The sequence below is a fragment of the Homo sapiens genome, chromosome 7 (genome assembly GCF_000001405.40).
Source record: "Homo sapiens chromosome 7, GRCh38.p14 Primary Assembly".
NCBI lineage: Eukaryota > Metazoa > Chordata > Mammalia > Primates > Hominidae > Homo > Homo sapiens.
Window position 1 is genome coordinate 109,221,430 of NC_000007.14, and position 26,068 is coordinate 109,247,497.

Below are 26,068 nucleotides of genomic sequence, written 5' to 3' on the forward strand. Positions count from 1 at the left end.
AGGTCCAGCTACCCTGCTGGAGAGAACCAACGAGAGACTTTGAGACTATGTAGGGAAGAAACGTACACCTGTTTTCAACCTTCCAACATTCCTGTCAAGTTACCAGGCATATGAGTATAGCTGTCTTAGAAAATGCCTGATTTCATGACCCACAAAACAGTTTGATACAAATCGTTATTAAACGACTACCTTTTGGGGTATTTTTACACCGCAACAGATAATTAGATGGACAGATAGGTAGGTAGTCAGCTAGCTAGCAAGATAGATAAGCAACTTAGTATCAGAATCCTGTTAGTATAGCTGTAAAAATAGAGATGTTTCAATTACATTATTTCTGACCTAAACACTCTAATTCATAAAGTTAAGAATTTACTCCAGTTTCTTCTGTCCATTTTGAAGCATTTTCTCAGGCATTTTGGTAAAATCTCTAGGCCAAATAATAGAGAACAGAATAAATAATTAAATCATTGCTAGGCATTAATTATGGCAAAGATATTTGGACAACTGCCTCTCAGTTTAAACCAGCTGAACTGTGACAATGCACATGATTTTAAAAAGACCTTCATTGTAGTTCATGCTCTATTTTCTAAGAGAAAGGTGTCTGTCCCCTGACACTTCTTAAAATAATCACAGTGAAACAGAGACTAAGCTCCTGGGATATATATTAATTACCCTGTAGTATAGGAGCTGAGATTCCCTGGAGATGAGGACAAATTGTGAAGGGTCAGTTTCAAAGTAAGTATTATGAGGTAGATTAGAAAACAACTGTTTTCTTAGAGAATAAATTTAGCATTATTTGGTCATTATTAATTAAACTTGTAAATGCTAATCATAAGCAAATTAGCCAACATATATGCTTTTAAGCGTGTAATTTCTGCTCACTTTTTTTCTGAGAAATTTTATTGTGGAATATCAATTATATATATATATTTCTCCACGAATTAGAGGGCGCAAGTTCAGCATACCAATTCTATGATGATTTATATGAGATTAACAGATGATTATCAAGGGCTTACTTTATGTTTTGGTACAGTGCTTGCTAGTGTCTATGATTGTCCATGAAATTCTGGGCAATATTTTAAGGTCTAAAAAAATTAACTCAAGCTTTATATTTTTATAAACTATAACTTCCTACTGTATTTATAGATAGTAAAAGGGTTAAATGCACCATCGGTTTCTTCTCCTTGAAAATTCTGAACACCTGAAAGGTCAGCACAAAAATGGTAGCAAAACAGATACAAAAAATGCAAGATGTCAAATATAAACTTTAATTTCTGATCTGTGGAATCAAACACACTCACTGGGTCACAATTGTAAATTCAAGACTGTAAACAACTCATTGCATTTTCTGATAACTGAAGTGACAAATTGCTAACTTGAACAAGCATCAATGTTGTTAGTCCAGATTTTGGCATTTGCACTTGAATAAAATTTTTCCTTTCATTCAGTGGGAGCCCAAATGAAGCTCCTGTCTTTAAAGTTTATTTTTCCTTAAAATCTTCTTATTTAAATAAAACTTAAATAAAAACTTATCTACAATAAACTGAAAAGTTAAAAAGCTGAGAGATGCTTGAAATATATATATGTTTGAAATAAACACACACACACACACACACACACACACACACACACACACTAGAATAAGCTCTTCATGGAGCCACAAAGAGGCATCTATTTATTTATGATTTCTGGGTGTCTTTCATGATTTATTTTCAAACATGACTTACACTTGCACTCAGAAATATACTATTGTTTTCTTTCTAAAAGTATTAATTGGATTAAATAGAACATTAAATAGAACATTTTATATTTTCTATTGTAATTGCTTTTTGATTTTTATATATAATTATCTACATAAATGAATATACTGAATTCTCCCTGATTAATATTTTTGAGTAGCTATTACTTCAAATAGTAAATAGGAATAGTGAAGAATGCAGTTATGTGAAAGAAAAGATTCCATCACACATAGAGCTTTAAATAAATAGTTTTAAAGTTTATGTGTATATTGTATAAGTGCTTATGAATTTTATAGTTAAGGATATTCCTTAATATACTGTTTTGAAAAGATGAGTTTGTGTGTTTTTTAATTATCTTTATTCTTTAGCTAAACAGGAAGCTATAGAGAGAAGGGGAAAGATGGAAAAAAATCAACAAAATGCACTCATAATGATCTTTTTTCATAGTAACAAGATACTTATAATGGATAATCTCAAATAACTGATAATCTTGTAGATATGCAAGGTATATAATATAATTTGTAAAAAAGGGACACACATGCGCACATTTGAACATATGCTTTTTTCCTCTCTAATTTAAAATAGAATTCAAATTTAATATAAGCCAAACAGAAACAACTCTCTAAATGCCACTAAATTCTCAAAGTTTAGCCAGTAAGAAATATCAGCTATTAAATAAAGGTGCTCATATCTAATATATTGGATCATAGGAAGAAGTTTCTGAAGATACATTTACAAAGTAAAATGCTGAAACCCCCTTCACTTCAAAATGCATGCTTAATGCTACTGGGTCAATGCCCTTGGACCAAGACACTGTGAAGCCACACAAAAAAATCAGCAGAAATAGGTCTTTATAAAAAGGAGCAGTCTAATAAGAGTGAAAAATGTGAACAAAATGTAATAACACAATATCGAATGTGAAAGGTTTCAGTTAGAGACATATAACATTTCACAGGAGCTACCAGAAGGAAAATATTGCTTTACTTGTAAAAGATCCTGCAAACTTCCTTTCAAAAATCTGATGAGATATTTTTGGAGGAGTAGGGAAGGGAGTAGCGGGCAAAGACTGCCAGTGATCTTTGAAGCTGTTTGGGTAAAGGCCACACCTGCTCTGCTGTGGAGGAAACTTTAGCAGGGCACATGCATTCCAGACAGATCTGTCTTTTGAGAGACCACAAGACCAAGAATACTGTCACAAGGAGGAGAGGAACATCACTGAGTCAGGTGTCAAACCGTGAGCTGCAAGATTTATAGTCAATACAAGTGTTCCTTCCTCATCCATTTGGTACTTGAGTTCAGATCATGAGTTTAAGTAGTGTGAGTTTGGATATACAGGGATATTTGCACTGCATTTTTCACATTGCAAAAGTCAGCTTTATATGGTATAATTTGCACACATTAACATTGAAAAAAAGAAAACCCTGCAAAGCATAAGGACATTTGCATTACTCTGTATAGTTACATGGTAACTCTTTATAGTTCATTTCCTCCACTACCCATAGAACCTTTCAACCAATGACTTGCTTTTTGTTATTACAATGTTGCCTTATGTAGAATTTCAAATAAACAAAATCATACGGTATGTACTTTCTCCATGTCTTTTTCATTTAGCGTAATGCTTTTAAGATTCACCCATGTATTTGTGTTTCCCAGCGGTTTGTTACATTGATTGCTTAGTTTCTTTTTGAACTGATTCTATTGCATGAATATATTACAATTCATTTACCCACTCACCAGTTCAAAGGTGTTGGGATTGTTTATCCTGTTATTAATAAAACTATGATCATTCAAACATAACTTTTTTGTGGACAAGTGTGTTTTCCTGGAAATGAAATAGCTGGGTCATATGATAAGTGTACATTGAGCTTTATGACATTGACAAACTGCTATCCACCATGGCTGTACAGGTTTGCATACCTGCCAGCAACGTAAGAAGAGTTTCAGTTGCCTCACATTTTTTTGTCAAAACATGGTGTTTTCATTCTTCTAAATTTGAACCGTTCTAATTTTTTTAGAAATATCTTATTGTGGTTTTTTTTAGTTCTCTAATGACTAATGATGTTGAGCATATTTTAGGTGCTTATGTATTCATTTACATCTTTTGTCCAGTTAAATTTTTTGGCCTAATATTGAGTTATAAGGGTTTATTATATATTTTATATACAAGCCATTAAGAAAATATATGATTTGTAAATATTTTCTTCTAGTGTGTGGCTTAGATTTTCATTTTCTTAATGGTATTTTTGAAATGCAAAAGTTTTAAGTTTTAATGAAGTTCAATTTATCAGGTTTTTTTCTTTTTTATGGATTGTACTTTTGGTGTCATATATGAAAACTCATTGCCTAACAAAGGTCATGAAGATTTTGTCCTTCTTTCTTCAAAGAATTTTATAGTTTTAGCTCTTACATTTAAATCCATGATCCATTTTGATTTAATTTTTGCATATTTTGAGTTAAGCGAATTCATCTTTTTGTCTATGGTTATCCAATTGTCCCAGCACCATTTGTTGAAAAGATTACACTTTACCCATTGAATTTTCTTGGCATCTTACTCAAATTCAATTCACCATGGATGTAAGAGTTTATATCTAGATTCTCAACTCTGTTCCATTGTATTATGTAAGGTTTTTTTTTTGTGTGCTAAAATTATACCTTGATTATAATAGCTTTTTAATAATTTTAAAATTGGAAAGCATTAAGTCTTACAGTCTTTTCTCAACATTATTTTGGATATTCTGGGCTGTTTACATTTCCATATACATTTTAGAATCAGCTTGCCAATTTCTGCAGAAAAGCCTGCTATGATTTTGAAAAGTATTCTAATAACTGTGTATTAATTTGTAGAGAATTTCCATTTTAAGTTATTCTTCCAATCAAGTGACATACTGTACCTCTCTATTTGTTTTGGTCTTTTTAAATCTCCCCTAAAAATATTTTACAGTTTTCAGTCCTTTCACATATTTTGATAAGATTATCTTTAAGTGGTACATAATATTTTATGTTAACCAGTAAATGGTATTTTTAATTTTCAATTTCCATTTTTGTTGTTAGCATTTAGACATAAATTAATTTTTACATAAAAATTGCCTTGAATATTTCCCCTCCCTACACTTGCTATTTCTAATAGCTTTTTAATAGATTCCTTATAATTTACTTTGTGTATGTTCAGGTTATCTGAATTAAGACAGTTTTATTTTTTCCTTTCCAATATTTATGTTTTCTTTCTTCTTTTATTTTCTGTGTTTTCACCTTATACTGGCTAGACCTTCCATTATTAAGATGAATAGAGGTGGTGAGAGAAAATCTTTGCCTTATTCCTGAAGTCATAGGCAAGCATTCAAACTTCCAACTTGCAATATAATTTTAGCATTGGTTTTCCATAAATCTTATTGACTAGGTTGAAAAAAATCACCTTCTATTGCTACATAGGTGATAGATTTTAAAATCAGGAATAGATGTTGGATTTTTTGAAGTGCTTTTCCACATTTATTAAGGTAGTTATGTTGATTCTTTTCCAGTCTGAAAATATAGTGAATTATATTGATTGCTCTTAGAATATTAAATTAACCTGTATTCCTGAGATAAGGCTGACTTGGAATGGTGCATAATATTTTAAATATATTGTTTGATTTAATATGCCAACATTCGTTTGTAAAATTTTATCCCATGTTCATGAGACATATCTGTCTGTAGTTTTCATGTAATGTCTTTTCCTAGTTTTGATATAAAGGTAATGCTGACTCCACAGAATTGGAGGGAAAATCTTTCTTCCTTTGTTATATTCTGAAAGAGCTTGTGTAAAATCTAATAGCTTGGTTTTGTTTTGTAACATTCTTTAAAACACTTTTTGTTTTGTTTGCTTTGTTACATTCTTTTCTGCCTTTTTTTAATCTCATGTCAGTAGGCCCATGATAGATCTTCAACTTGGCTTTCCTCCATTAGGTCACTGAATGCTCTTAAGTAAGTTGTGTTTTTTTATTTGTTGGTTCATAATTTTGTGATTCCTTAGAACACAAAATTGTTCTAAGGAATCGTGAAGATCAAATTGTTGACAAGCAGAGTAGCATCTCCTCTTTTGAGCTGACATCCAATGAGCAGAAAAATCCAGTCCCTCTCTAGCAACAGGTCTCCCAACGTGTGTAGCAAGAAAGTTTGCTCCACTGCAGAATCTGGGAGCTACTTGGCTCACCAGAGCAACTTTCCTGCAAATCCATAGCCAACAGGTGGGTGTAGAGTCCTGACTCCTCAAAAAATCCACACCAGGAGCTGTTTGCTTGTTTGTTTATCCAACAAGGGGTAGCAGGCACTCTTCTCTGTAGCTAGTCATTTATTCAATCATTCAACAAATATTTATGAAAACCTACTGTGTTAGAAAGTATTCCTAGCACATAGAACACACCAGGAAGCAAACTGAAAAAGATCTCTGTGCTCTTGGAGTTTATTGGGGTTTAAAGGTGATGAACCATAAATATAATAAATTATTAAATAATATGGTATGCCAAAAAGTGGTAAATGCTGTCAAAAGAAGAAAAGTATGACAGTAAAAAAGACCTCAAATTTTAGGGAGAGAAAGTTTGCTGTATTAAATGGGATACTTAGGAGATTCTTCTCATTGAGAAGATATTAGAGAAGACTTGAAGGGCATGAGCAATGGAATCAAGTGACTTTCTAGGGAAGAGCATTCCAGGGAGCGGGAATAGCTATGGCTAAGGCTTCAAGGCAAGGCACATGCCCCTCTCTGCATTCTGGCATCAAGGAAGAGGTCCATCCTCTACTCATCCTCTGAGGATTTAGGCTCTGCCATCATTCATAGCCTTGTTTCCTTCCCAGTGGGAGGTGAGAAGAAGAGGGAGTCACAGTTGTATTCAGAACTTGACTCAGCTTTTCAGAGTTCCTCTCCTACGAAGTATGCATTGGAGGCACTGTCCAATAATGAATACTAGCCCAGCTTGTCACTTTAATATTCCAGAATGAGACACATAGGAAACCAATTAATATGTCACTGACAGAGACTATTGTATATCATTTTAAGGTAGGACAGTCCTGATGACAAATAGCATAACACAAGCAAAATGATAATTAGTGTTTGATTTGTTGCTGAAAACGCCTGCACAGAATTGCTCCTTTTTTTTTTTTTAACTTTAAAATAGCCAAGCAGAACAGCTTATCTAAATGCAAAAAATGCATTATTTATGATTGGTTTTCATCTATTCAAAGATATCAGATTTTAAGTTCCTGTAGTATCCTTGGGATCCGTCTATCTTGGGATCCATCAAGAACATTGGGAAGTAAGATAAACCTGAAGGCAGTATCATTTATAAAAAAAATATAACATCGAGGCCTTGAATATTCAACAATTTATATACCTGGCATTTTCTTTATTAAAAATGTATTCCTCTATATTTTCTTCTTAGTATCTGATTAATATCTTAGTACCTGATTATTATCATAATCTAGTACTGATGGGTTGAATTGTTTCTTTTCTTTTGTAACAACTGGAATAATTTGTCGATCTTTCAAGTCTTTCAAATGCAAAACATGAAATAAAAATTACATTACATCATAAAAATTACAGTAGTTGGTTTGACAGCTATTTTAAAGTTAAACCTGTATTTTTCAATAAATTTCCAAACCTTTTTGTGGTATCGAAATGTACATATTATGTAATACATGTAATTTTAAACATTATGTAAAATTTCCTTTGAAATGTTTTAAATACAAATGTGAAATGTTTTAAATACAAATGTGTATGCATACATATGAACACATATGCATTAAATACATGTATATATTCATGGCAAAGTCATTGAATACACTTCAGACCTAGTCTTACTTTGGTTCTGAATAATAATAAGCATTTAAAATGTACATACATGATTTTCCAGGGCAAGAATTTTCACATTTGAAAGGAGAATTGTATTAATATTAGACCTTTTATATAAAATAATAGATACGTTAATTATTGTATGAACCTGGGCATATTTATTGTTCACTAAAGATTTAGAGGTATGTTTGTGTCTCACTCAAGTTTTTATCGAGCCAATCAGAAAAGTTGTAACATTCTGGCTAAGAAATCCAGTTGGATTTAGTAAAAATTTATTTATACAAAGTTCCAAGAACCCTAAGTGTTTCATTTTTAGAAAACAAATTTAAATAAAATTGCTTTGGGCAAACATGTGAATAAATCAAACCAAGTGAACATAAAAAATGGCACAAAGGTCAATAGAAGTGAGAGTATAACATTTTTTTAAAAATACAGATTAATGAGAAGATAGCAACCTAAAACATTTTTAAATGCTTTTTAGTTCTAAGACCCATTTATTAGCTTTCTAGGGCTGCCATAACAAAGTACCACATATTGGATGGCTTAAACAACAGAAATTTATTATCTTACAGTTCTGGAGGTCAGAAGTACAAAATCAAGGAGTCAAGAGGTTTGATTCCTTCTGAGGGCTTGTTAGCAGTGGTGAATCCATACGGGCGAGTCTGCAGTGACTCCTCGAAGGAAAGAATTTATCTGAGGGGCATAAGGCAGAGTGAGAGAGTGAGGCAAGTTTTAGAGCAAGAGTGCAAGTTTGTTAAAAAGTTTTAGAGAAGGAATGAAGGGAAGTAAATTTCAGTTGGAAGAGGGCCAAGCAGGCAACTGGAGTGATCCAAGTGCCCTGTTTGGCCTTTGACTTGGGCTTTTATACATTGTCATGGTTCCAGGGCTTTTGTACCTCTCCTCTCTCCGGTTTTCCTTGGGGTGGGCTGACTGCATGTATAGTGGCCTGCCAGCATTTAGGAGGGGCTGCATGTGCAGTGTGTTTACTGAAGTTGTACATGTGCTCATCTGAGGTGTTTTTCCCTTACCAGATGAATGTTCCTATGGGAAGATCATATACCAGTTAAACTCTGCAATTTTCCTCTTAGTGCACATGCTTGAGCCCACTCAAGAGGGAAAAAAATAATCTCTTGATTTGCAGTTTATGAATTCTGCAGCTACTAATTCATCTTGAAAGACTTCAAATTTAAGCAAGCTTCATAAATATACTGATAGTGAATGTGTTCTGAGATCTCACCAGGAAGTTGGTGATCACCAGCTTCAGGTGTTTTCTATCCATAGGGAGACTGCCTTTCCCTAGCACCAGCTGCAACCAATTATTATTTTAGAGATACAGTTGAACAACGGCCTGGCCATCACCTGATGGTCACCTGACATTCCTGGGGCTCTCCTGCCCTGCTCATGTCTGCCTAGTTACCTACTCTAACAGGCTGTGAGGGAAGAATCTAGGCCTCTACCCTTGGCTTAAAGATGATCATCTTCTCTCTGTGTCTTTTCACATTGTCTTTCCGTAATGTGTATCTTGACTTTGTGTACAAATTTTTCCTTTTTATATGGATACCAGTTATATTGTCTTAAGAGTCCACAATAATGAGCTCGTTTTAACTTGATCTCCTTTGTAATGACCCTATCTCCAAATAAGGTCAGACACTGGGAGTTAGATCTCCAACATATCTTTTTTTTTTTCCTTTGGGAGAAACAATTCATCCTGTAATATCTTAGAAAATCAAAATAGAACAAAATTAATATTGCACAATTTCACTTAGCACACAAATTATAAAGTTAGCTATTAACTTGAAGCAGCATATTACACAAATTGTCATACTCACAAAGTGTTTCCTCATCTAAGGCTACATACTTTTGCCTAGTGTTTTTGTTTGTCTAGTTTGTTTGTTTCTCTGTCAGAATCTCACTATCCAAATCACCTATTCTCACTTAGAGCAGAGTTGGAACACATGTGATTAAACTGAGAGAATCCACTCCAATAATTAGAGAAGATTATATCAACTGTTTCTGCCTCATGGACACAGGGAAAAAATTGTCTGTCTGGTTGAACACACTCACTACCAGTATATTTACAAAGCTTACTTATATTTGAAGTCTTTCAAGATGAATTAGTAACTACAGAATTCATAAACTGAAAATCAAGGGATAATTTTTCCTTCTATTTGCATTAATCTTTCTCACTACTATAAAAAAGAATGTGTTTTTATTTATGTTATACTATCTTAGTAATGCAGCTAAACAGAAAAAATGGCAATTATATTATTTACATCCCCAAATTCTCAACCCAGCAGACTTATTTTGCTTTTATCCTCTTTCTTGAGTAAGTTTTGATCAAGACATCCTTAATGTTCTCCTCAACTTGACTAAATTTTAGACAGGCTTCTTTTTGACTATAGGCCTCTTACCTCCATTTCCTTTGAGCCTGGAGTGCAGTGGCATGACCTCGGCTCACTGCAAACTCCACCTCCCGGGTTCGCACCATTCTACTGCCTCAGCCTCCCGAGTAGCTGGGACTACAGGTGCCTGCCACCATGCCTGGCTAATTTTTTTTGTATTTTTATTAGAGTTGGGGTTTCACCTGTGTTAGCCAGGATGGTCTCAAACTCCTGACCTTGTGATCCACTCACCTCAGCCTCCCAAAGTGCTGGGATTACAGGCATGAGCCACCGCTCCTGGCAGGAGTTGTAAATTCTTTCTCTGCTCTTTTGAGATGTAAATCTTCTATAACCCAGGAGTGTCTTTCTCTAGGACCTGGGAGCCATTCCTTTGAAACATAATCAAGAAAGGTAGGGCCCTTGTCTTCCAACCCCTCTGGAAGGTAAAAGCCTGGTTTCCGTAAATAACAATTTGCAAACATAGGTGTTTGAATCACATTGATCAACATCCCCACCCCTTCATCCACACCCTCCATTCTTCAGTACTTTTCCATTAGCTCACCTGAGCATTTAAAAAATCCTCCTGCTTTTTGTTTCAGGGAAGTTGAGTTCAAGCTCAACTTTTATTCCAATAGTCTTTGTCCCTAATTGCAATGGTCTTGAATAAAATCTTCCTTGCCATTTTTAACAAGTTTCCAGTGCAATCTTTCTTTTTAATAGTTTTGTCTGGGCCTATATTGCGAGTAAATATATATGAATAAGAGAAGCTACATAATTTTACCTTATTCTATAATCAAATTGACTACAATATTACATTTCATTTTAATGTTAAGGCTATGAAAGGCCTGAAATTACTTGGTATCATAAACATAATTTCTGTGATCTATTTATATATTCTGCTTTTGCTATATTCCATGCAATATTTTGATTATTTCTATTTCATGATAAAGCCAGGAAGATATTTGATGATGATTTCAAATATACAAAGTTTTTCTACACAGAATTCTGAAATTCCTATCTATTTGCGACCTAGATATTTCTTGAGTTCTGTCTCTCTGTTCAATTTCTATAACTACTTATATATTTAAAATCTGCATCTCTTTTGTCTAGACCAGACATGTTTTACTTGAATTTGCAGTTTCTACCTAATACTACTCAAATCCTTTTTTCCACAATGCAAAAGGATAATCTCTCCTACTTGGAAATCATAATATGTAATTGTCAGGGCCACCACTGCCCTACATGGTAGCTTTGTGAATTAGAAAAAGGGTCTTTTCCTTCAAGTCAAATAGAATTTAAGTCAGTAGACTACGACCTAAATAACTATCCTTGGGATAATCCAGGGAAAGTGGGAACTTGGGCTGTTCTCTCTTGATGGTTGAGGATGGGAGTGCTTGTTGGTTGGCAAGAGAAAAGTGGAAAACTTCAATGTATAGAGCAGGCTGTCCCATTTTAACCAATTAGCCATTACTGTAACAGCAATAGAAGGGCAGCTGGCTTTCTATGCTTTCTGGTATGATACATATGAACCAGTATAATCTATGAAGTAGTCTTGGCAAAATGATTGTAATCAGCACTTACTTTTAGGTCTAACTTCTAGTTAACAGAAAATATAGACAACAAAGCTATAAGTTAAACATCGTCAAAAGAACACAAGCAGGCAAATTTAAAAGGTAAGACATTCTATAGGACAACTGGCCTTCTATCTTTAATAATGGATGCCGTGAAGAAAAGGATTTGTGGTAGGTTAAAATTCATTTAAAAGCTACAGTGACCACACATGGCATAGCTCATGACTGGTTACTGACTGATTGATTAAACTAATGAGCTATATTTGTTGAGGCCCCTGGGAAAATCTGAATATAAACTTGTCATTAAATGCTATTTTGGGATTATTGCCAGCTTTGTTAGGTTAGATAATAATATTGTCAGTATGTAATAAAATATACTTACTTAGGAGCGAAATGTGATAATAGCTGCAATTTACTTTTAAAAACTTCTGTGAAAAAATAGTTGAAGAAATTATGGCAATGTATAAACAATTGTTAAATTTACATGCTGTCATAGACATGTAATTATGTTATGCAGTCTTTTGACTTTTACATATAGTTGGAATTCTTTATAATAAATTGTCAAAATACTGTAGTACTTTAAAAATTATGAATGTAAAGCTACAGTTTCAGTTCTGACGTGTAAAGAACTTGGAAGTTGTCATTCCCACTCTTTTAGCAAATAATAGGAAGAAAAAGCTTGGAATAAAAGACTTTCGTTGGAGCCATTAGATAATTGACTTTGAAGGTTAAATAATCAGCCAAATTTAGAAAGACAGGTGTTATCCAGAGAGATACAGATGAGACTTCTTACTTTGACCAGAAGATACTGGAGCTATAAACTGGGAGAAACATATAAATAATAATTTTGGAAAACTTCTGAAAATTATAGAATTCTCCCCTTGCCTATTGCTTATCAACATAGCAACAAGACTCTTGTGTAATAACTGGATTATAGCTGAAAGAGCTGGAAGGCCAGATCTCTATATGAGGAGGAGTTCTTAGGGAAACACACAGAGAAACAGGGAACAAAAACAAGGACATTAGAGAAACTCAAAGTCTATGGTACCTAGAGCTACAGCAAATATTAAACACAGCCCAACCCTCACAGAAATTAACATAAATCCTCACACTGTTAAGCTTGGTTTCTGTTACCCAATATATCATGTCTGGCTTAAAAAAATTCGAAGCCATGACGAAAGTCAAGAAAAATTCTGTCTGAAAAAACACAGCAATCATCAGAACCAGATTCATATGTGACAAAGATGTTGCAATTATCATGTAGAAAATGTAAAATAACTATAAATATATTTAGGGCTATAGTTAAAAAGTAGACATGTAAGCATGCATGAGTAATTTAATCATACAAATGTATAATCTAAGAAAGAATCAAAAGAATGTGCTAGAAATAATAATTAAAAACAAACTATAAAGAAGGCTTTCGTAGGTTTATCAGTAGACTCATACAACTAATTAATGACTCTTATTTACCCGTTAATATTCATTCATTTCACAGCTCTAGCTTAGCCATTACTTTTTAAAAAATACATTCTCTAGTGAATATATCCCTCCATGTTTTATTACCTCATTGACTGACTACCCATCTCTTAGGGCATCACATACACCAGGCTTTTTATGACCATGGTGTATGCAATATTGATCATCTTGTTATTATCATTTTTTATGAGTCAAGGCTAACTCAGCATAATGCCAAAATATGCTGAAGAATTGTCAGTAAATTGGATATTTTCCGAAGCTCTAAATGTCTATATTAAAGAGGTCAAACATCTGAGATATCTAATTTACTTTTTAAATCATTGTTTGGCATCCAGAGATCAATATTTAGAAAACTTCTCTAAAGCCACTCTAAGTTATAATACAAGAGTTGTAGTTCAAAAAAGAATATAAATTTTGATTAGAATAAGCTAATAATGGAATATGCATCTAATTTTTTTATCCAAAGAAAACAACTCTTAGACATATTATTTGAAATGCAAAAGATAGCTTTAAATAATGAATGTTTATTTTCTTCCCCTAGGTTTGACCTTAATAAACTTTAAGAGACAATTCTCCTTAGGTCTCTCATGTTTCTGCACATCTTGTGAGCAGAGACACTGACTTTCATTGTTCTGAACTATATTTTCAAGGACACTTCTATAGTGAACAACTTTGAAAGACATAATGTTTCCCTCCAGAGCAAAGTACAAATGGAATTATGCTCATTAGAAAAGACTCAGGATCTTTAAGATCATGGTTCATCCCCTGTAATATAATCCATTATGTGTGCAGTTATCACCTGCCCTCTGCATTGCCATATAGGAATTCAGGCTCAGAAACTCAGCCAAATGCTGATAGTCTGACTGCAGCTATTGCTATGAGTAATATACTGTCCTTTGTCTCCAATCCAGGAGTCTCAAGTCTTCTGCCAGAATTCATGATACGATAGTAAACTAACTTGTAAGCTTGCAAGTATTGTAAAATATCATGTCCTTCACAGTTCTTAACATATACTAGAGAAAAAAAAAATGCTTTCATTTGTGACCGGGAGCTGCTTTCTAAGCAGTAACTAATCAGGTCAGGCATGAATTCTTCTGAAACTATTAGTAATAACATAACTCATGAAAGAAGTAGTCCCACAGTAACTGAAGTGTTAGTTGGAAATATTGAGCATTTTATGATACTAATGTATTCAAGTGGATAAGAATGGCATCTTCCTTCTTGTAATTCAGAGCCTAGGTGTGTGTTTGGCAGGGGGGAGGGGGTAAAACAATATACTGTGATGTATTTCCAGGATTCCTTACTACTATGTTAGTCAAAGAGCTAAACATAGACAGATCCATTAAATTATTCAAATTCATGTCTTCAGGTTGTGGTTGGTGACAGACAGGGAAAGAATATGGGAACACAGACAGGTTTGCCAGAGCTTTTATTTTTACACAGGCTGAAAATAAACCTGAGAGTGAAGAGAAAGAGAAGAGAGAGGGAGAGAGAGAGAGAGAGAGAATATGAGAATGAATTAAGAGTAAATAGTAGGCACTTATCTAAATTGACAAATATCTTGCATTTAACTGATTGGCTGGATGGTTAAATTTATACTGTGAAGACGTTAAGAAAATAATCTTTTCACTATCATTTTTCTCTCTGGATCTATTGATCTGACTTGATAAGTCATTATTCCATTAAATTCGACTGAGAAACTACATTGAAGGTACCTAAGACCCAAGACCACAGCTTAATATGTTAACTCTTCTTTCAGTAGTTCAAAAAATATCTGCATTCCACAGTTGATATATTACATTACTGGGCTTAATATAGGATTGCATTTTGATACTCAATCCATATGCTTTGTGGTAAGGTCAACCCTGAATAACAGTTGAATCTTAGGTATGCAAATCATGTGAATGTGTTGATTGAATTATTGTGTAAAAAGACTACACTAGGATCTGAATAGTATTTTTGCAAATTAGACATATAAATTGCCTACAAGTCTATGAAAAGATGCTTGACTTCACTAATAATCAAGGAAATGTAAATCAAAGCTACAGTGAAATAACACCTCAGCCTTGTTGGGATCGTCGTTATCAAAAATTCAAAAGCTAACAAGTATTGGAAAGAATGTGGCAAAAAGAAACCCTTGTACATTGTTAGTGGGAATGTAACTTGGTACAGTTATTACAGAAAATAATATGGAGCTTCATAAAAATTAAAATGACCATATTATCCAGCAATTTCACTTCAGGGTATATATACAGAGGAAATAAAATTACTATTTTGAAGGGATATTTGCATTCCCGTATTTATTGTAGAATTATTCACAATAGCCAAAGTAAGGAAAGAGCCTGTGTCCATCAATAGAAGAATGGATATAGAAAATGCTGTATATAAAAAACAGAAAGTACATATATATATATGTATATATATATGTATATTTGTGTATGTGTGTGTGTGTGTGTGTGCGTGCGTGTATAAAACAGAAAATTATTCAGCCTTAAAAAAAGAAGGAAATCCTGCCATTTGTCACAAAACAGATGAACCTAGAGGACATTTTGACAAGGGAAGTAGGTTAGACACATGATATGGTTTGGCTGTGTCCCCACCCAAATCTCATCTTGAAATGTAGTTCTTTTAATCCCCATGCATCATGGGAGGGACTAAGTGAAAGATAATTAAATCATGGGGGTGGTTACTCTCATGCTGTTATAATAATAGTGAGTGAATTCCCATGAGAACTGATGGTTTTATAAGTGTCTTTTCCCCCCTTACTCGGCACTTCTTCCTGCCACCACATAAAGAAGGATTTGTTTGCTTCCCCTTCTGCCATGATTGTAAGTTTCCTGAGTTCTCCCCAGACCTGTGGAACTGTGAGTCAATTAAACCTCTTTCCTTTATAAATTACCCAGTCTCAGGTATTTCTTCATAGCAATGTGAGAACAGACTAATACGATAAGTTTATACTGAGGGAGTGGGGCACTGCTATAAGGATACCCAAAAATGTGGAAGCCACTTTGGAACTGGGTAACAGGCCCAGGCTGGAACAGTTTGAAGGGCTCAGAAGAAGACAAGAAAATGTGGGAAAGTGGAAACTTCCTAGGGACTTGGAGAGCTCAAAAGACAGGAAGATGTGGGGAATTTTGGAACTTCCTAGAGACCTGTGGGATGGCTTTGACCAAAATGCTGACAGTGATATTGACAATGAAGTCCAGGCTGAAGTGGTCTCACATGGAGATGAGGAACTTGTTGGGAAATGGAGTAAAGTTCATTTTTGCTATGCTTTAGCAAAGTCACTGGTGGCTTTTTGCCCCTGACCTGGAGATCATGGAACTTTGAACTAGAGAGAGATGATTTAGGGTATCTGGTGGAAGAAACTTCTAAGCAGCTAAGCATTCAAGAGGTGACAGAGCATAAAAGTTTAGAAAATGTGCAGCCTAATGATGCAGTAGAAAAGAAAAAGCCATTTTCTGAGGAGAAATTCAAGCTGGCTGTATACATTTGCATAAGTAATGAGAAGCCAAATGCTCATCATTAAGGTAATATGAAAAATGCCTCCAGGTCATGTCAGATACCTTCACAGCAGCCCCTCCCATCATAGGCCTGGAGGCCTAGGAGGGAAAATTGGTTTCCTGGGCTAGGTCCAGGTCTCCCCTGTTGTGTGCAGCCTTGGGACTTGGTGCCCTGTGTTCCATCTGCTCCAGCCATGGCTAAAAGGGCCTAAGGTACAGTTCAGGACATCACTTCAGTGGGTGCAAGCCCCAAATCTTGGCAGCTTCCATGTGATGTTGGGCCTGGTAGTGTGCAGAAGATAAGAATTGAGGTTTGGGGACCTCCATCTAGATTTCAGAGGATGTATGGAAATGCCTGGATGTTTAGACAAAAGTCTCTTGCAGGGTTGGAGCCCTCATGGCAAACTTCTGCTAGAGCAGTGTGGAAGGGAAATGTGGGGTTGGAGCCCCCACACGGAGTCCTCACTGGGGCATGACCTAGTGGAGCTATCAGAAGAGGGCCATTCTGTCCTTCACACCCCAGAATGGTATATGCAGACAGCTTGCACCATGCACCTGGAAAAGCCATAGACAATGCTAGTTTGTGAAAGCAGCCAGGAGTGGGGCCATACCCTGCAAAGCCACAGGGACAGAGCTGCCCAAGGTCATGGGAGCCTACTTCTTGTATCAGAGTGACCTGGATGAGAGACATGGAGTCAAAGGAGATCATTTTGGAACTTTAAAGTTTAATGATCCCTATTAAAGTTTAAAATCCCTATTGGATTTTGGATTTGCATGGGGCCTGTAGCCCCTTTGGCCAATTTCTCCCATTTGGGATGGGTGTATTTACCCAATGCCTATACCCTTATTGTATCTAGGAAACAACTAACTTGCTTTCAATTTTATAGACTCACAGGCTCAAAGGCAGAAGGGATTTGCCATTACTCAGCTGAGACTTTGGACTTGGACTTTTTGGTTAAGGCTGGAATGAGCTAAGACTTTGGAGAACTACTGGAAATGCATGATTGTGTTTTGAAATATGAGGACATGAGATTTGGGAGGGGCCATGAGTAGAATGATATGGTTTGGCTATGTCCCCACCCAAATCTCATTTTGAATTTTAGTTCCCATAATCCCCATATGTCATGGGAAGGACCCAGTGGGAGGTAAATGAATCAGGATGGGGGGGTTACTTCCAGCTATTCTTGTGATAGTGAGTTATCATGACATCTTATCATTTTATAAGGGGCTTTTCCACCTTAACTTGGTACTTCTCCTTCATGCTGCCATGTGAAGAAGGACACATTTGATTCCTCTTCCACCATGATTGTAAGTTTCCCGAGGCCTCCCCAGCCCCATGGAACTGTGAGTCAATCAAACCTCTTTCCTTTCTAAATTACCCATTTTCGGGTACTTCTTCACAGCAGCATGAGAATGAACTAATACAACACTGAAAGAAAAATATTGTGTAATATTACTTATATGTGTAATCTAAAAAAGTCAAACTGATAGGACAGTAAGTAGAATCCTGGGTACAAGTGGTTGAGGGTGGGGGGAAAGGAGAGACATAGGTCAAAGTGAATAAAGTTTCAGATATAGGATGAATTACTTTTGGAGACTGAATGTAGAGCCTGGTGCTATGGTTAATAATAATGTATTTTCTTCTTGAAATTTGCTAAGAGATTAGATATTAAATGTTCTCACCACATACACACCACACAATTGTAACTGTGTGAGGTGGCTGATACGTTAATTATCTTGTGTTTGGTATTCATTTCAAAAGGTATATGTATTTCTAAACATAAGCGTTTACAACTTAAATGTATACAATTTTTGTCAATCATACATCAGTAAAGCTGGAGGGGGTTAAAAAAACAACAATCCCCCTCAGTTGGCTATTTATATTACTAAGTGAAAAGTGCTTTAAGAAAATATTCCAAAACTGATATTCTTATGAGATTTTAGCTATAATTAAACCAATGATAGGTAAAGAGATATCAGTGTTCTCTGTTGAAGGCTTTTACATATTTAAAATCTAAATAGGTTATGCATGTCAGTACACTAATGAAGACTAACAAAGACCTCACATGAGACTGAAAAACTGAACTGGAGATGTAGAATAATTGATGCAGTGATGGTATTAAAAGAGGAAAGGCCATTCAATGCTGTTAATAAGATGTGAAAGTGTTTAAACAACTGTAGAACACCAGAGCTTCTGCTTGAGTTGAAACAGTGGCTTTAAAATGGTATTTAGTAATCCAGGCATGATGGTTCAAACCTATAATCCTAGCTACTTTGGAGGATGAAGTGGGAGGATTCCTTGAGCCCAGGAGTTCGAGGCTGCAATTAGCTGTGATCATTAAAAGCAGGGAAACACTCTACTTTTAAATGTCTCCCATGATTGGGTCAGTCCTAATCTCTGTTATTGTGAGGCTAGCTGAATTAAGACAGTAGTTACATCCACGAAATCCCTTCTGCAACAGCATTTGAGTGAATAATGAGAGTAAGGAAATCTTGGAGGCAGACAAATGTTAGAATTCTCCCTACTACAATCTCTTTATAGTAACTGAATAGTTGACATATGTGCTAAAAATTTTTAAAGCATGTGGAATTTATATTACATGTTTTCATCAAATGTTCCCTCAAATCTGCTCTGGAAAGGTCCCAAAGTTCTTGCCAGGCCCTGTCCATCATTATGAAAGCTCCCAATTATATAATATATAATATATAAATATATAATAATTAAATACTCAGCCCAGCATAATGTAATACGTAATTTCCAACTTATTCCAAAATTAAGTCTTTTTTCTGGATAATGCCACTCTAAACACAAAGTTAGGAGTGGCCAGGAGAGTCCAGTTTATTTTGCAGCCCATAAAATCCCCTCCCAACTTGATAGCTGCTGTTTCTGACACCTCCAGCATCAGGCTAAGGGATTAAAAAAGGGAAAAGGAACAGTCTTACACGATATGACCTTAATATCTTCCAGATTTAACCAGTTATTCAAAGCTGCTATTTCCTCTCATGAAGTTTTTTGGAAATTACAGATTCCCCTTCTTAATTCTGCTCACCTTCTATTCTGTTTCTGTTTCTGTACCCATAGAGAAAAACAAAAGGACCATACTGAGTGGGCTTACTTTGAATTCGTGACCTTTGTTCTCATGTGGGCTTTTTTTTTTTTTTTTTTTTTTGAGAAAGAGTCTCGCTCTGTCGCCCCAGGCTGGAGTGCAGTGGCGCGATCTTGGCTCACTGCAAGCTCCGCCTCCTGGGTTCACTCCATTCTCCTGCCTCAGCCTCCCGAGAAGCTGAGACTACAGGCGCCCGCCACCACGCCCGGCTAATTTTTGTATTTTTTTTTTTTAGTAGAGATGAGGTTTCACCATGTTAGCCAGGATGGTCTCTATCTCCTGACCTCGTGATCCGCCCGCCTCGGCCTCCCAAAGTGCTGGGATTACAGGCCTGAGCCACTGCGCCCGGCCAGCTCTTTTTTTTTTTTCTTTTTTTTTTTTTTTTACACAGAGTCTTGCTCTGTCGCCCAGGCTAGAGTGCAGTGGTGCGATCTCCGCTCACTGCAAGCTCCACCTCCCGGGTTCACGCCATTCTCCTGCCTCAGCCTCCCTAGCAGCTGGGCCTACAGGCGCCCGCCACCACGCCCAGCTAATTTTTAGTATTTTTAGTATCATGTGGGCTCTTAATGCTGCTCAGTAATCTTATAGTGTCTTTAGTCTCTTTGTCCTCCTAGATGACATTTTAACATTTTATCCTCACCCCTCACCTTGACAACTTTTCCTCCTTTTCCTTTTGGAGAATATGGCCATTCATTTTTATATTGCGGGAAAAAAATAGGCCGTCAGAGAAGAATTTCTTTGGCTTCTCACCAGCCTACTTCTGTGCCCCTATGTAATGCCTCTCTCCTGCCCCATGGAGGAATTCTCCACCCTTCTTTAAAGACACCTTCTCCACGTGTGTTCTAGATCCCAGTGCTCACACCTCCTCAAGGAGTTCTCTACCCACTCTCTCTTCCATGCATTGTCAGTATTTCATTGATTACTATATACTGAATCATTCTCGTCAGCATACAAGCATGTTTTTTTTTCCTTCTATTGTAAAAAAACATCCTGATCTTGTTGATACTTCTTGTATTAGCTAGGGTTCTCCAGAGAACAGAACCAATAGGATATATATATATAGATATATATCATACATATTATATATATTATAAATATATGTAGGGATTTATTAAACCACGCCTTAAGCATTTCAAATTTATCATGAGAAAAACATGGCTTAGATAATTATATAAACATATAGATACTTGTTATAAAATAGTAAGTAAAAAATTGATTAACTCAAAGTACATATATAGGAATGTAAATATGAAAGATATATGGCTACAAAACTTTGCATAAGCAATCATGAAAATCAAGTCAATATAGAACCTCTAGTGATAAATTGTGAAGTTCAATATTGAAAAGCTTATGGATTTTAAAATGCATAATATCATCAGTTCTGATTTATTAATAGATGACATAAGTGACTTAGAGAGACAATGTGATAGTACCAACTCTTCACAGGAGAGCATAAGCAGAAGACAGACTAGATTTCTAGTCTTGGATCTTCTTACTATTACACCACCACTGCTGTTTTTAAAAGAATGGAGCTTATGCCTCTAGCAGCGTTCATAAAGAAGACACTATAATGAAATAGGAGTCAAAGAATTAGTTTTCAACAAAGGTGCCAGAATACATATTGGGGAAAGAACACTCTCTTCAATAAATAGTGCTAGGAAAACTGGATATTTCTATGCAGAAATATATCTTACCATAAGCAAAAATTAACTCAAAATGGATTGAAGATTTAAACTTGAGACCCAAAACTATAAAGAAAACAGGGGAAGGGCTTGAGGACATTGGTCTAGACAAACATTAGTAAAACCCCAAAGCACAGGCAACAAAAACAAAAATAGATGAAACTATATTAAACACAAAGCTTCTGCTCTGCTACTTTCACAATCAATGGAGTGAAGAGACAATCCACAAAATGTGGGGAAATGTTTGCAAACTATTTATCTGACAAGGGATTAATCCAGAGTATATAAGGAACTCAACAAACTCAACTCAGAAGGTCAAATAATCCCTTGAAAACTGGGTGAAAGATGTAAATAGACATTCCTCAAAAGACATACAAATGGCTAACAGGTATTTGAAGAAAATGCTCAATATCATTAATTATTGGGAAAATTCAAATCAAAACTGCAATGAAATACTATCTTCCCGCAGTTAGGAAAGCTATTACCAAAAAAAAAGAAAAAAAAAAAAAAAAACAAATGAGACAAGGATATGGAGAAAACTGAATTTTTACATACTGTTGATTTGAATGTAAAATAGCAGGGCAATAATGGAAAACAGTATGGAGATTTCTCAAAAAACTAAAAATAGAAATAGCAGATGATCCAGCAATCCCGTTAGTGGGTATTTATCCAAACGAAAGAAAAGTCAACATATCAAAGGGATACCTGCACCCCTACATTTATTGCAGCACTATTCACAATAGCCAAGATGTGGAATCAAACTAAGTGTTCATTCATAGACAAATGGATGAAGAAAATGTGATATATATACACAATGGAATAAAATTCAGTCATGAAAAAGAATGAAATTCTGTGATTTGCAGCAGCATAGATAGAACTGGAGGACATTATGTTAAGTGAAATAAGCTAGGCACAGAAAGACAAATATTACATGTCCCCATCATATATGAAAACTTAAAAAGTTGACTTTATGGAGGTTGAAAGTAGAAAGTAGAATAAGAGTTATCAGAGGCTGGGAAAAGTGGTGGGGAGGACAAGGAAGGGTAGGTTAATGGGTAAAACATACAGTTAGATAGAAGAAATAAGTTCTAGTGTTCAGTAGGGTAAACACTAGCATAGTACGGTGACTATAGTTAACAACAATATATTGTATATTTAAAAATAGCTAGAAAAGAAGATTTGGAATGTTTCCAACACAAAGAAATGATAAGCATTTGAGATGATGGATATCTTAAATACTCTGATTTGATCATTACACATTGTATGGATGTAACAAAATATTATATCTACCCCATAAATCTATAAAATTATTAGGCACCAAATAAAAAATCGAAAGATTTTCCATCCATATTATTTTGCAATAGTTAGAATTAATAGATATTATCTGATTTTTATAAAAATTGGGGTTAAGATTAAAATAGCAATCACATGCTATATTTAAGCTTTAGCTTTTAAAACAAAGTGTTCATCAAAAGACATGATAGGCAGATTTAAGAATTATTTCAGTAATGACTTGAAATTAGTTTGAGCATATTATATGAAAAACTTTTGGCTTCTTCATAAGGTGTTTAACGAAAGAAGAAAAATTATAGCATCAGACATTCTAAAATGAAATGCTGTTACTACTGATATTTTAAAACATATCATCTGCTTCAGGCAAAAATATTTAATTAAAAAAATCAAATGCCTTAATGGAAACAGCTGCATTTTTCATGCATGTACAATGAGCCTTTGAATTTAGATGAAATAAATGAAAAGTGACAGCATAACATCCAAAGGAGAAAGGAACACAGATTTGGTATTATGATTCAAAATAATTTATTTAAACAAAGGGGCAGTTAAGTGAAATTGATAGTAAATTTAGTAAATAAAACCAATTGTTTTGTTCTACTAGTATTTCTGAATATGGTACTTTCAGAGAGAAAAAAAGCCCTCATTGCTATTTGACTAAAAAGTAATAGACATACTTTTTGTAACATAAAGTTTTGTCTAGTCTCTCACCCAACAGTTTCCATAAAAGTCTCTGGTCTTTCACCAAAGACTTTTTTAAAAAAATTTATTTGTTCCTATGAAGTGAGAAAAAAAACTAGGCAAGTTACAGGGTTCACCTTTCTTGATTTTAGTCTAGTATTCTCCCTTTTATGAATTCTATGCGGAGCACAATTTAATAATTTGTCCTCAATGGAAAATTCAATATAAAAGTGGCTATAATACATACATACAAGGTTTAACCAAGATCGGTATTAAGTAAACATAAATATCACATTTTAGAACTAGCAGAAAATTTCACATTGTTGTAGTCTAATAGCCTATTTTACATGAGAAAAACAAGAAGATGAGTTTCCTGACTTCTGAACAGGGATTCATCCTACCATATTAGGATGCACCAGTATTTGGCCATGTTTTATGAACCACATACAGTGTCGATGAAATGATAATATTCTCGATTAATTAACAAACTCTCCATAAGGCTTCATTTATTTCCATCAGTTACAGCACTCATGACTAACAGTGAGTTATTTTTACACCTATCAAGTTGGCAAAAAATTTTTAATAAAGGACCAGATAATAAATATTTTAGGTTTTGTCGTCCAGATGGTTTGCCATCACTACTCACTCTGCAAAAGCAGCCATAGACAATAAACAAATGAATGAGCATGCTTTTATTCCAGCAGCATTTTATTTGCAGAAACAAGCGATGCAAGATATATATACTTTTTAAGAGTCAGAATCTCACTCTGTCACCCAGGCTGGAGTGCAATAGTGCAATCATAGCTCACTGTAGCCTCGAACTTCTGGGCTCAGGAAATCTCCTGCCTCAACTTTCTAAGTAGCTAGGACTATAGGCATATGACACCAGGCCTGGCTAATTTTTTTCTTTTTTAAAGACTGGATCTCACTATGTTGCTCAGGCTGGTCTCAAACTTCTGGCCTTAAGTGACCCTCTTGCCTTGAACTCCCAAAGTGCTGGAATTACAGGCTTGAGCCACCATGCCCAGCCTTGATGATTCAAGATAGTTTTGCCCATGGTCTATAATTAGATGACTCCTGATATAGATCAATGATAACTTTATATGTATTTCATAAATTGTTACTCTGTGTATATCACTATCATATCATTTACTAAGCTGTATTGTAAATGTTTGCCCTCTCCCCCATTCACACACAGAAGCTAAAGTTGTTAATGTAGGAGCTCTCATTTTTTTTTTATGTTCCAGAATGTTGGCAGGGTGAATTTTATCTATCAAATATTACAGTTCCCAAGACCAAATGGAAATAGCACAGAAAACAAGAGCTTTCAAAAGCTTGTTCAGCCAGTTTCTGACTTCAAGAGATGCTTCCACAAAAGACAGTTTATTACCAAATAAGTTTGGAGCTCTTACATGATATAAAGTTTGTTTGAAAGTCACAAAATGTATTAGCATAGTGAAAGACATTATAAGTAGCTGTCACAAAAAAATAGTTTCCAAAACTTATTTGAAAAAAAGTTTTAAATTCAATACCTGCTGTCATCTTAGCACATTTCTTCTTTCTCTTTTATTTTATTTTACTTTTTTGAGACCAGGTCTTAATTTGTCACTCAGGTTGAAGCACAGTGATGTGGACTGGGCTCACTGCAGCCTTGACCTCCTGGACTCAAGTGATCCTCCTGCCTTAGCTTCCCAATTAGCTGGAACTATAGGCATGTTTCACCATGCCTGCATAATTTTTTTTTGGATTTCTGGGCTTAAGTGATCCGTCCTCCAGTCTCAGCCTCCCAAAGTGCTAGGATTACAGGTACGAGCCACCACACCCAGCTCTCTTTTGCCACAGTTACTACGGGACTGAGCGAAGGAGGACGAATGAGAAATGAAAACTGAAAACAAAAGAAACTGTTTTAAAGAAGGGGTCCAGGGAAGAAGAGGGCTCCCTGCTTCTAGTGAGCAAGGGCAGCCACCTGAACCTCAACAGCCCTTTGTATTTATTGGGTAGAAAGAGCAAGGAGCAGGAGGTAACTATTGGTCAGCTGCTTAATTGATTACAGGTTCACATTATTGCTAACAGGCTTCAGATGTGCCTAATCACAAGAAACACTACGCTTGGGGCGTGACTGCCCTCAGCATTCCTTCTGGGAGGCAGTCGCAGTTTGTCAGTTTGCCAACATTCTGCATTTATGAGAACAGTTTGCTTTTTACTCATATAGCCTCCAGTGGTATACTGAATTGATCATGACCCTCACTCTTTCGGCCTGCAACACCGTTTCTCTACTTTCATATCTCCACTCACCAATACTTGTGCTACACTGTCAGTATGCTACACTTGGTATGCCAGCTTAAATCTTATTTAAGATGTCCTTTATTCAATGAACATTTTTAAAAGCATATGAAATGTCTTTTTTAAAAACAAATTTGTTTTTTTAGAGTAGTTCATAACAAAATTGAGTGAAAGTACAGGGAGTTCCTATATACCCTTGACCAGCCCACATACACAGACAGCCTCTCCCTCTATCAACAGTCCCGACTGGAGTGATACACTTGTCACAATTGGTGAACCTACATTGACTCATGATTGTCACTCAAAGTCCATAGTTTACATTAGGGTTCACTCTTGATGTCGCACATTCTAGAGGTTTTGACAAATATATAATGACATGTATACACCATTATATTATCATGCAGCATAGTTCCACTGCCCCCAAAATCCTTTGTGCTCCCACCAGTAATATCTTTCTCCCCCTAAGCCCTTGGCAAACACTGATCTCCATAGTACTACTGTACATATTATACATAGTATAAATACTCCACA

General features: G+C 35.4%; 1 annotated feature.

Annotated features, from left to right (window-relative positions):
* Positions 10,062 to 10,620: an enhancer, noted in NCBI's record as "OCT4-NANOG hESC enhancer chr7:108871548-108872106 (GRCh37/hg19 assembly coordinates)". NCBI's record gives its function as "activates a minimal SCP1, AML or CMV promoter by ChIP-STARR-seq in naive H9 embryonic stem cells {active_cell/tissue: H9 hESC(naive)}" and the evidence as "EXISTENCE:reporter gene assay evidence [ECO:0000049][PMID:30033119]".